The sequence below is a fragment of the Homo sapiens genome, chromosome 2, assembly GCF_000001405.40.
Source record: "Homo sapiens chromosome 2, GRCh38.p14 Primary Assembly".
Taxonomy (NCBI): Eukaryota; Metazoa; Chordata; class Mammalia; order Primates; family Hominidae; genus Homo; species Homo sapiens.
In genome coordinates this window covers 105,288,963-105,301,398 of record NC_000002.12, presented here as the reverse complement: position 1 = coordinate 105,301,398, position 12,436 = coordinate 105,288,963, and the positions used below count along the sequence as shown (strand labels likewise).

The following is a 12,436-nucleotide window of genomic DNA, read 5'->3' as shown; positions in this document are numbered from 1 at the left end:
TGGCCAGGCTGGTCTCAAACTCCTGACCTCAAGTGATCCACCCGCCTCAGCCTCCCAAAGTGCTGGGCTTACAGGCCTGAGCCATCGCACCTGACCAGTTTCATTTCTTATACTGAAGAGTGTAAGGAATACATTCAATTTTATCTCTTTAAATTATTTATTTATTTATTTATTTTTGAGACAGGGTATTTCTCTGTCACCAAGGCCAGAGTGCAGTGGCACAATCTCAGTTCACTGCAACCTCCGCCTCCCCGGTTCAAGTGATCTTCCTGCCTCATTCCCCTTAGTAGCTGGGGAATAGTACCCGCCACCAAGGCTGGCTAATTTTTGTAGTTTTTGTAGCAACCGGGTTTCACCACATGGCCCAGGCTGGTCTTGAACTCCTGGACTGGAGTGATCTGCCTGCCTTGGCCTCCCAAAGTGTTGAGGTTACAGGTGTGAGCCACTGCGGCCAACCTCAATTTTATCTTTTTTATATAGCTGTCCAGTTATCCTAACAAACTGATTAAAGAGTCTATCTTTTCCTCACTGATGATGGCCTTTAATGTACACTAAATTTCCTAATGTATTGGGTCTGTCTCTGGATTTTCTGTTTTATTCTGTCAGTTCATTTGCCTATTCACGTGCCAATACCTAACTGTTTTAGTTATAAAGATTTGATAGGCTGGGCGCAGTGGCTCATGCCAGTAATCCCAACACTTCAGGAGGCCGAGGCAGGCAGATCACCTGAGGTCAGGAGTTCGAGACCAGCCTGGCCAACGTGGCGAAACCCCGTCTCTACTAACAATACAAAAATTAGCCAGGCATGGTGGTGCATGTCTGTAATCCCAGCTACTCAGGAGCCTGAGGCAGGAGAATCGCTTGAACCCGGGAGGCAGAGGTTGCAGTGAGCCGAGATGGTGCCACTGCACTCCAGCCTGGGCAACAGAGCGAGACTGTCTCGGAAAAAAAAAAAAAAAAAAAAGATTTTACTCCATTATCCTATGTTGGTTGTAGTGTTAGGATTGATGGGAAATAATAGTCAATAATCTTTATGATGCACTGTGTCTCAGCTACATGGGCATCTGGCTAAATGAACCAACCTTCTTAAGTTTTGTTCTGCTTGTAACTGGCACAATTATAAGCAAATTGAAAGATTACTTGTAACGCCTATCACACAGTACCTATATACAGATTCTATCTTCAGCATAGTAACCACCAGACTTTAAACCAGAGGTTTATAGTCTTAAACCCTGTCCTATGACAGTGCTTCTTGAAGAAGGTAAATAATTCAGCTACTCTTCACCACACATGGTTCCCTCTCCTTCTCCCAGCTTAGATAAGGGGGTGGATGAAACATAAAGGGTACACGATTGAAAATAATGGTTTTAAAAGGTGTGCCATTTACACATTTGTTACATGTGCCTGTTGACAGCAGTTGCACTCCTGCAGCACTACAGAAACAATAGACTTTATCACCTATTTGGCAAGAATAGAATTAGTTTGTGGGTGTTGATCACAGTCCCCTCTGTTCCCAAGTGGGGCTTCGAGGCTTCTCCTAGTGCTTGTCCTGGACTCCTCTTTTGCCAGTTACTGCTTGCTTTTTTATTCTAGTGAAAGCTTTGCTTTGCTTTTTGCGTGGATGCCTTTGTTACTGACTCCTCATCCTTTGCCCTTTATTTATTTATTTTGAGGTGGGGTCTCACTATGTTGCCCAGGCTGGTTTTGAACTTCTGGGCTCAAGCAATCTTCCTGTGTCAGCCTCCCAAGTAGCTGGGATTATAGACACGCACCACTGCCCCAGGTCCTTGCCCTTTTTATTTTAAAAACATTCATCAGGGCCTCTGTGCTGCATAGTTCTCTGGTTGGGCGATGTTCAGCCTTAAGCAGGTAAATGCAGTGACCCTCTTTGACCTCCAGGGTGAGGCTGGGCGATGTTATTGGTGTCCATGTGACCATGAGAGCTGTGCTGTCTAGAGCATGTTACTTGAGCAGAAATTCAGCAGAATCCTCAGGATTACGCCCTATTTGAAAGTCACTTTGTCCTCACGTGAGGACACATGCTTTGTCAATCTTCATGTGGCTTATATGGAAATGTATTTTTAACCTCATTTTTATTTTATTTTACTTACTTATTTTTAGACAGGTTCTCACTCTGTCGCCCAGGCTGGAGTACAGTGGCGTGATCACGGCTCACTGCAGCCTTGACCTTCAGGGCTCAAGTGATCTTTCCACCTTAGCCTCCCGAGTAGCTGGGACTACAGATGTGCACCACCACACCTGGCTAATTTTTATATTTTTTGTAAGGGTGAGGTTTTGCCATGTTGCCCAGGCTAGTCTTGAACTCCTGAGCTCAAGCACCATCTGCCCGCCTCTGTCTCCCAACATGTTGGGATTACAGGTGTGAGCCACCACGTCCGGCCTATTTTATTTTTTATTTTGCTAAGTTTGTGGTAATATTATTACAACTTCATTTTTAATTGGAAGTAAATATCAGATATACATTCTGGGTAAGGTAGTTCTCTTCACAGAAATAAATTCCTGTAGGGCTCTTCACACATACAGCATATTATATTGTTTTTCCTTCCTTGAAATATAAGACTGTACAGGAAAATTGCTGGTGGGCAGGGGTCGGTCTGCATCCAGACATAGCTACAGGAAAATGACACCATGCTTATTTGGAAGCCTACCTAACTCTTTCTTCTTACTTCTAGGCATGTTTGCCACAGTCGCAGGGATATCCCAGCGCGCCCCCGTGCACTGGTCGGAGAATGTGATTGGGGCGGCTGTGTCCTTTCCATACGTCATAGCGCTCGATGACGAATTCATCACAGTCCACAGCATGTTGGATCAGCAACAGAAGCAGACGCTGCCCTTTAAGGAGGGCCATATCCTACAGGACTTTGAAGGTACTCATTCACATAGAAGTCTTAGTGAAATTTACTTAACTCTTTTATGATATTTCTTCGGTAAATATCATTTAGGAACTGGGCCTTGCGCTAAGCATAAAAGATACACAGATGACTCCAATACAGTCTCTGTGCTTCAGGGGCTGCACAGTTAGTGGGGAGACAGACATTTAAACAAATAGCTATGGCAGTATAAAAGCTTGATCACGATGGAATAAGGCCCATTGTGAGAGCAGAGGAGAAAGTATTTCCTAGAGATATCAGGGAGGGCTTCCTGAAGGAGGTGCTGTTTTAGCCAAACCTTTAAGGATGCATAGGAGTCAGCCAAGCAGATGTTGTGTGTAAGAACCTTCTGGTAGAGAGAAAGGTGTATGCGAATCTGTTCAAGAGGGTACTATGGGCTTCAGGCCACTCAAGCAGCTCACTGTGACTGTAGTGCATGGTGTGTTTGAAGGGGCAGCGTGAGCTGAGGCTGCAGCAGACCAGGGTAGTCAGGGTGGCGGAGGCAGGAGGGACTTCATTTCGTGTGTATGGTGAGCCACTTGAAGGATTTACTCTACTTTTCTTCAGTTTTATTTTGAACACTTTGAAGCAGACCGAAAAGTGGTAAGAGAGACAAAGTAAACCACCAGAAACCTTTCACCTAGATTCAACGCTTGTTAACATTTTGCTGAGCCATTTGAAAGTACGAGGAAGATATCATGATATTTAATCCCAAAATTCTTCCACACATATCTCCCAAGAATAAGGGCATTTTCCTACAAAACCACAATGCCATTTTCACACCTGAAAAAAATTCACATTAATTTACAATACCATCTCATGTCCTGCCAATATTCAGATTTCCCCAGTTGACCTAAGAATGGCTTTTATCATATTTTCTTCCAACCAGGAACGAATCTAGATTTATGCATCGCATTTGCCACTTAAGGGTTTTTGTTCACCAAACATTACCCTTGCTGTGCCAAGTGCTGTCTTATAGATGCTTATAGGAGATAAGAAGACTCACAGTTCCTGCCATTAAGTGGGCTAATTCCGGTGGGGCTCTGGCGCATGCGCTGGGGTCACACACAGAGCAGTGTTGTGGTGCGGTGCCTGTTGAGTGGTAGAGTCGGGCTCAGGGTGTGGTGGACACACAGAGAAGGATGATGTAACAGGCCCAGGGTGAGAACACAGGGAGGCTTCCTGGGAAAAGTGACTCCAGGCAGAGCAGGGACAGAATGTCATTTGAGAATGAGAAAAACTGCCTTAGTTGTGATACAGAAGACAGAAAGAGTTAGATTGTTTCCTATGAACAGGTGGTGCTTAGCTGAAAGTTTCTGCAGAAGGGAGCCAGTTTTAATCTGGAAGCTTAGTAGTAGGAGCTAGTCTTGGACTGCAGTTCTGACTCTTCCACAGACTACCTGTGGAGGGGCTCACAGGTAAAATGAGGATGGCAGTGTTGACCATGGGCCAGGTTAACTTGCAGGATTGTGGGGAGATGAATACATTAATGGCAAGACTTTGGAGGTATTTTTGGTTGGCAGATGAGCATGAAATATTATCTCATGCTTCAAAATATCACATTAAAATTTTAATTTTATATAAACTAACTTGGAGGGAAAAGAATGTTTTAAAAATGTTGTGTATTCTTATTGATAATGTTCCCTGATTGAACTCTGCATCTTCACTGGACTATGTATTATGCGTTTACTACACTGATTTTACATTTACCAGCATTTCTCAGTAAAAAAAAAAAAAAAAAAAAAAAAAAAGGCAAAAAAAGAAAGCAAGATATTATTCTTTGGAAATGTCATAGTAAGAGTTTGCCCTTTTCTGACAGTTGACAGTGTGGGAAAAAGAAAAGCATTATAATTTATAATTTTTGTAGGAATTCCTTTGAGAAAACTATGGTGAAGTTGTTGAACAAATCAGGTAATGATCCAGTTTGGGGAAAGCAGTGTGTTTTTTTGCAGGCAGTGTGTTTTTTCTCTTTCCAACAATGCTGAATTTCTTCACAGGAAGAGTGATCGTTGCCACAAGTAAAGGAGTTTACATCTTGGTTCCATTACCTTTGGAAAAACAAATACAGGATCTTCTAGCAAGCCGCAGAGTAGAAGAGGCTTTGGTTTTAGCAAAAGGAGCCCGGAGGAACATTCCAAAGGAAAAATTTCAGGTTTGTAATTAACTGGTCACAGAAATATGCCTCTAAGTCACCAGTTAGAGGACATTCAGATTTAACTAACATGCATCGGCCCTTCCTGTGTACCGGGCTGTACACACTGCTTTTATATCTGTTGTTTAATTTTCTCAACAAATACATATTGTGTAGATAAGGAAACAGGCTTTAGGGCGGTCAAACAGCTTGTGACTGAGAAGGCACTGCCAAGAGTGGAGAAGTCAGGCTTCTAACTTGTGACTTAATTCTGCTATTTTAGATATAGGCTTGTATTTCTAATCAACTTTCCTCTTCCGTGGACCTTCAGAGAAGGATCAATAACATAGTTCTTATAAAGCAAAAGAGTGAGGTCAGGTTAATTTGTCTCTGAATTTAGAATTTGTATTTGTCAGGAAGGGGTTGAATTAAAGTTTAGATTTCTATCATCTGTAGGAAAAGCTTTACTAAACATATTGATAACCATTTTGCTAACTAAATTGGTATTGTAGGAACCCCATCTAGTTGATTTCCTTAGGAGAACTTTTTTTTTTTTTTTTTTTTTTTGAGATGGAGTCTCGCTCTGTCGACAGGCTGGAGTGCAGTGACGCGATCTCGGCTCACTGCAACCTCTGCCTCCCGAGTTCAAGCGATTCTCCTGCCTCAGCCTCCCGAGTAGCTGGGAATACAGGCGCCCGCCACCACACCCAGCAAATTTTTGTATTTTTAATAGAGATGGGGTTTCACCATGTTGGCCAGGATGGTCTCGATCCCTTGACCTCGTGATCCACCCGCCTCCGCCTCCCAAAGTGCTGAGATTACAGGCGTGAGCCACCGTGCCCGGCCAGGAGAACATTTTTAATGCACTTAAGAAACACTCATTTTAAATATAATTTGGTATAATAAATGCAATTGATATAAATCGGGTCTCCTAAAAACTGTTACTTGATGAGTTATTAGGTTGTACAGGTTATTCCATATTTGAGGGGAACAAAACATAATATTGCTATGTATGTGTGCTTTGTATGAATATCTAAATTAATAATGAAAAAGTTCTTAATATTGGTCAGATTTTAGAGAAGACAGTGTAATTGTTGTGGAATGATATGTTCTTTGGCCTCAGGTGCTTTATGCAGAAAAGGGTAGATTCTGAAAATGAAAGAAGACAGGTTGTGTGATTTATGGTTGTGGGCTGTGAAGGTGAGCAGGACCTCTTTTCTACATTTAAACGTTGATAAAGTTTTCATCTTTGTTGCTAACTTTTGAGTAAGACTGATCTACTAGCATTCAGCAGGGGGCAGCAAAGGCAAAAAGAAGAAAGCTGCTGAGCTTCTTGTGCCCTGGAGGGGAGGGTGCAGACCAGAGGCAGATCGCCAGTCCCAGGCCTGCCACTGCCGCATGTGCTCTCAGCCCCTTCTCCTCTCCTGCAAGCTGCTCTCGGTGGATGTGTGGAAGTCCAGGGGGGCCACATTCCAAGGTTTTCCAGCTGCCACTGTGGAGTATTCCCTTCTTGCACACACACCATGTGCACATTTTAAGCGTGTAGCATTTTCTTACAGAGGCTTTCAATGCTGTGTATCTGATTTTTGCTCTTTTCTTCCCTATGCTTTTTGCCAGGGTAGAGCTACACAGTCAGTATTAGAAAATATTAGTCATCTTGTTCTCCAATCTGGTATCTCAGGGTTTTTTTGTTTGTTTGTTTCTTTTCTAACCTGCTTCCCGCTTCTCCCTGTATTACTGCAAGCTCCTATCTCCAGCCCTGGAAATACACCTTCAGAATTATCTCGAGTTCACCCATTATTCTCAGTTCCCACTGTTACTGCTGGTATTCAGACCATGCTCACTTTTGCCCACGTTTTTAACAGCCTCCTTGTGTGATTGCAGTCCATCATCCATGCAACTATATGGAAATGATCTTTTTCCATTACGGACCGAGTCCTTTGCTTAAAATACTTTAGGGGGCATCTCGTTGCCCAGGTCAAGTCCACAACCTTGAAGCATGGCTGACCCCACCCTCTTCTGTGGCCTCCTTGTCTTTTACACACACACACACACACACACACACACACCCTCACTCCTATGAAGCACATGCCTACATTCTACATTTCTGCCTCAAAGGGTGGAAGACAAAGAGAACAAACAACCAGTGAGCCGGATAGTATGTCAGGAACGCTTCAAGGCATTTAAAAACATTTGTTGTTTTAACCCTCAAAAGAATTCGGTAATGACTGGTACAATTGTCCTCATTTCACAGACAAGACATGGCAGATCAGCCATGCCTCTGGGCATCAGGCTGGCTAAGTCAGGCTGGCGCTTCCCACAGGGCCCTTTACCCTGCAATTACTGGAGGGTACTTCTCTACTCGAAAAAATAGTTTTGATACCTCGCATAAATATCTCCTCTTCACTAAGCCTTCCCTTTCCTCTGGGCAGAGCTAAAGACTTCTTACCTCATGCACCTGCGATTTGTGGCCCATACCATTTATCATGTCACCCCTCAGCGCCATACTTCTCCCTCCCCTAGGTCCTGGGTAGGTTCTTCCCTTTTAATACCAAGGAAAGAATGAATGAGTAATTCAGAGCTTCCAACTGGCCTTCCAGCAGAGCTGTGATATAATGGATTGGCAGCACGGGGTTTTTGTTTGAAATAGAAACCTTAAACAATAAAACAATATTGATGCAAAAAAAAGGTTTAGAAATGACTTTTCATAAATGTGTATGTTTTAAAGGATTATATTCAGCTCATATGGTTAACTACATTGCTTCTTTTAGTCTTAGAGTGTTTGTGACCACATGCTAGACCCTAAGCTTAGAGAAACCAGGAAGGGAGAGGATGAGAAGCTTGAGCTCAGTAGACTTCTTCACCATTGCACTCCTTTCCCTTCATTTAAAGCAAGGGCTGGTTTCGCTTCTCTGAGTTCTGAATTAGCAAGGGGTTTGTCAAGAAGTTTGACTGTGGGGCTGGGATTAAGGATCGTTTCTTCAGGAGATCCAAAAGGGTTGTTCAGAACTTTAGAAAGCAAGCCTTAAATTATATTACAGTTTAGAATGCTGTATTTAAAATAAGAGACAGTAAAGGGACATCTTGCTTTATAGACAAAGATTTGTGTCACACACACAAAATATTACCTGATTTCTGTCACATAATATGGATGGTGTTTATATTTAAGCTTGGGCTCCGATAGATTTTTTTTTCCATTTCATCTAAAAACATTTCAATACATGTCTCTAAAAGCACGGATGCCCCCTTTGAAATGTAACCGCAGTACCATTGTCGTCATTCCCCCATATCAGCACTGATTCCTTTGTGTGCTGGGTATCTGGTCAGTGCTCATATTTCCAAACTCGTCCAGTGAATGTTTTTGCTTTTTTTTTTTAATCCTTAGGGAAAAATCTCGCTAGCCTGTACACTCAAATTACTGTTTTAATGTCACATGGGATAGTTCTCCTCTGTGTGGTTCTGCCACCAACTCTTACATATGTAGTTAGGTTCATTTGTTTCATTTGACTTTTGGTTTTTTGGGGATTGCTTTTTAAAATTTAATTTGTTTTATAATTTTATAAAATATTTACATAGCTCAAAAGTCAAATCAGTAAAACAAAGTATATTCAAAGAAGTCTAAACTCAGTTTCTCTCCTTCACTCTGTTCACTGCCTCCCCCCTTTTACTGTCTGGTCTGTTTTATTTGCATATATTCTTTCTCTCTCTCTCTCCCTCCTTCTCCCTCTCCCCCTCCCACCTTTCTACCCGCCTCGTTCTTTCTTTCCCTTCCCACTGTCCCTCTGTGTCTCTCTCTCTGCCTCCCTTCTTCTCTGCCTTTTGATGTGAATGTTTGTGTTGTATTTTTTGTTTTAATGATTACCTTGATATTATTCATCTTATAAAATTCCTTTATGTTCTCTTTTTTGGGAGGGTTTCTATTGTCTGTTGCTTCCCCACTTGGAGCTGTGTTTGAAATTAGCCAGTAACATCTTCGTCACTCTTCCCCTGTGTTCCTCAGCATCTGCTTTGGAGGAATAGCCCTCAATTCCCAGCTGATACCCGGAAGGCAGTCAGCAAGCATCTTGTCTTTTTTGTATAATCTCTCATTCTTCCCTATTTTTTGATGGTTATATTGTCTGTACTTTTTCAGAGCATCGAGCCTTCCACATGCTATTTGGTTTCTTAGTTCTGTGGACAAATATGTGTGGAATGCTCACCATTGAATTTTCTGTTGATGTCTTTCCAGTCATTTTGGTTTTCTAAAGCAGTCCTATGGTAGATATTTCACAATGGGAATATGGGGACACTGTCTCTTGAGTTTGTGCTTGTTGATGACAGTGACAGTTCATTGCAGCCTTTATACTTGAGGGCCAGTTTGGCTGGAGACAAAATCCTCCACTCATCTTTCAGTGAGGAACTTAAATATGTTCTACCATGATAGAATTGCAGTGAAAAATCTGATGACAATCTGGATTTCTTTCCCTTGTAGTGACTTGATCTTTTTGCTTAGAGGCTCAAAGCATACAAATTTCTTTTATGTCAAATTTCTCCATGTTGGCACACATGGCAAACTGGAGCCTGCAAAATCACCTCCCACTTCCCACTGTATGCCCACCCATTCCCTCCGCACCCGGCCCAGGCAATCCCCACTTCCACTTCTGTCTCTATGAATTTGACTACTCTAGGAATCTCACATAAGTGAAGTCATACAATATTTGTCCTTCTGTGACTGGCTTATTTCTCTTAGCATAATGTCCTCAGGCTTCATCCATGTTGCAGCATGGAAGAATCTTCTTCCTTTTTAAGGCCGAATAATATTCCATTGTATGTACCTACCACATTTTGTTTACTTATTCATCTGTCGATGAATAAGTTGCTACCACCTTAGGCTGTGGTGAGTAGTGCTGTTATGAACCAATCATTCTCTCTCTTTTCAGAGGAGACTGAGAGATTAAAAAACTACACCTCTACTTTCTTAGTCATCTCAGATTGCTGGAACAGAATACTGTAAACTGGGTGACCTCAACAAGGAACATTTATTTCTCAGTTCTGGAGGCCAAGATCCAGGTGTCTGTACGTTTGGAGTCTGGGGATGGCCAGCTTCCTGATTCATGATGGTTGTCTTCTCTGTCTTCACGTGGCAGAGACAGAAGCAAGCTCTCTCAGGATTAGTATAAGGGCACTACTCAGATCCCATTCATGAGGGCTCCACCCTCATGACCTCATGTAATCCTAATTACCTCCCCAAGACTACACCTCCTAATACCCTCAGGGGAATAGTTTCAACATAGGAATTTTAGGGAGACACAGACACAAGCATTCCGTCCGTAACAGCCACCACCTTCCCAGATACCTTGGTTTTAGAAAATTTTATTGATTTATTTTTTTGAGTTGGAGTCTCTCTCTGTCACCCAGGCTGGAGTGCAGTGGCGCAATCTCGCAATCACTGCAACCTCCACCTCCCGCGTTCAAGGGATTCTCCTGCCTCAGCCTCCCGAGTAGTTGGGATTACAGGCACGTGCCATGACACCTGGCTAATTTTTTGTATTTTCAGTAGAGATGAGGTTTCACCATGTTGGCTAGGCTGGTCTCGAACTCCTGACCTCAGGTGATCTGCCGATCCTGGCCTCCCAAAGTGCTAGGACTACAGGTGTGAGCCACCTTGCCCAGCTGGTTTTGGAACATTTTAAAATAATTTATTTGAAAACCCAGAATCCACAAAGAAAACTTAAATTCACACACACACACACACACACACACACACACACACACACACACTGTCTCTCTGTTTCTCTCTTTCTCTCTCTTTCTCTCTCTCTGTCTTTCTCTCATATACACATCCTGCATGGCAAAACCTATAAACAAATTCAAGAAAAATAGCACATTAGGAAAAATATTTATAGTTTGCAGCACAAAAAGAGGGCTAATTTCTCTAATATCTGAAGAATTCCTTGGGCTATATGAAAGAAATATGAATAGCCCAATAGAAAAATGAATATGAACACATTTTATAGAAAATGAAATTGCTGGCCAGGTGCAGCGACTCACGCCTCTAATCCCAGCACTTTGGGAGGCTGAGACAGGAGGATCACTTGAGGTCATGAGTTCCAGACCAGCCTGACCAGCATGGTGAAACCCCATCTCTACTAAAAATACAAAAATTAGTTGAGCATGATGGCATGCACCTGTAATTCCAGCTACGCAGGAGGCTGTGGCACAAGAATCACTTGAACCCGTGAGGCGGAGGTTGTAGTGAGCCAAGATTGTGCCACTGCACCACTGGACTCCAGCCTGGGCAACAGAGCAAGACTGTCTCAACAACAACAAAAAAAGAATTGCCTATCTAATAAATGTATGAAAAGATGCTTTTTGTCTCATATAGCGGTATGCACAATAAGAATACACCAATACATTTTTCATTCCTTAGATTATCAGAGATCAGAGAGTTTGATAATACCGTATTGGTGAAAGTGGGGAAATGGACACTTTCAGGTGTCCTGTAATAATTTAAATTGATACAGCCTCTTGGGAGGGCAATTCAAGAATATCTGTCAACATTAAAACTTACAATTCTATACTCAGAAGTGTATTTTACAGATCTGATCACTGAAATTCGAAATAACAAATGTAGAAAACTTTTCACTCGATTATTGTTTGTTAAAAAGCAACAACCACAACACCTAGAGGCTGCCAGTGGGGCATGATTAAATGTATTATGGCCCAGAGGGGTGCTGCAGCGCTGTGCAGCCAGGAAGAGTTTCGAGGCCTGTAGGGCTTAACACATAGCATTAAGGTAGAACAAGTTACACAGAGTGCAAGTGAGCCTGCATAACATGCTACCACTATTAAAATGGCATAAAAGTATTTGCTCCTCAATACATAACATATCTCTGGAAGGCTACCCAAGAAATTAATAGCACTGATTCCTTCTGGAGGGCATCTGCTGGCAGGGACAGGAATGAGAGGGCTCACTGTATCCGTTTTCAATGCCTCAAAATTTGAGCCATATTGAATATATTACTTAGGAATTTTGAAAAGTACAGGAGAAAAAAATACATGCATGTGGTTAAAAGAAAAATCAAATGGCAAGTCCCTTTTTCTTCCTTAGCACATCATTTTTCTCTCTAAGTCACCAGTGTTGCAATTTTTTGTGTATATCCTTCCCAAGAGAGTTTGGCACCCCCCCACTTTTTTTTTTGTAAATTTTGCTTATGTGTGCTCTCCCTCTTTTCTTGCCACCACCTCGCTGCGTCCCTTCCCCATTCCCATGTTTGGAATTGACCACCTTTTGTGCTTTGAATGTGTCCATTGCAGGCTTCCTTCTGAATCAAGGCTTTCCAGTTTGTTTCACCAAACACATGTGCAGGGACAGTAACAGGTGCAGGGTGGGAAGAAGATTCTATTTTGGAAGGCTAAGTTAATTGGGCTTCTT

At 42.3% G+C, this 12,436-nt stretch overlaps 1 protein-coding gene across 3 annotated transcripts in view; it reads left to right on the top strand.

Annotated features, from left to right (window-relative positions):
- The window catches only part of TGFBRAP1 (transforming growth factor beta receptor associated protein 1), an 80,332-nt gene that overhangs the window by 28,337 nt on the left and 39,559 nt on the right, over nucleotides 1-12,436 (top strand). For all 3 annotated transcript variants that reach the window (NM_001328646.3, NM_001142621.3, NM_004257.6), the window contains exons 3-4: nucleotides 2,694-2,888; nucleotides 4,889-5,043. In NM_001328646.3, coding sequence (NP_001315575.1) covers nucleotides 2,694-2,888; nucleotides 4,889-5,043 — 350 coding nt within the window. The remainder of the gene's footprint in view (nucleotides 1-2,693; nucleotides 2,889-4,888; nucleotides 5,044-12,436) is intronic.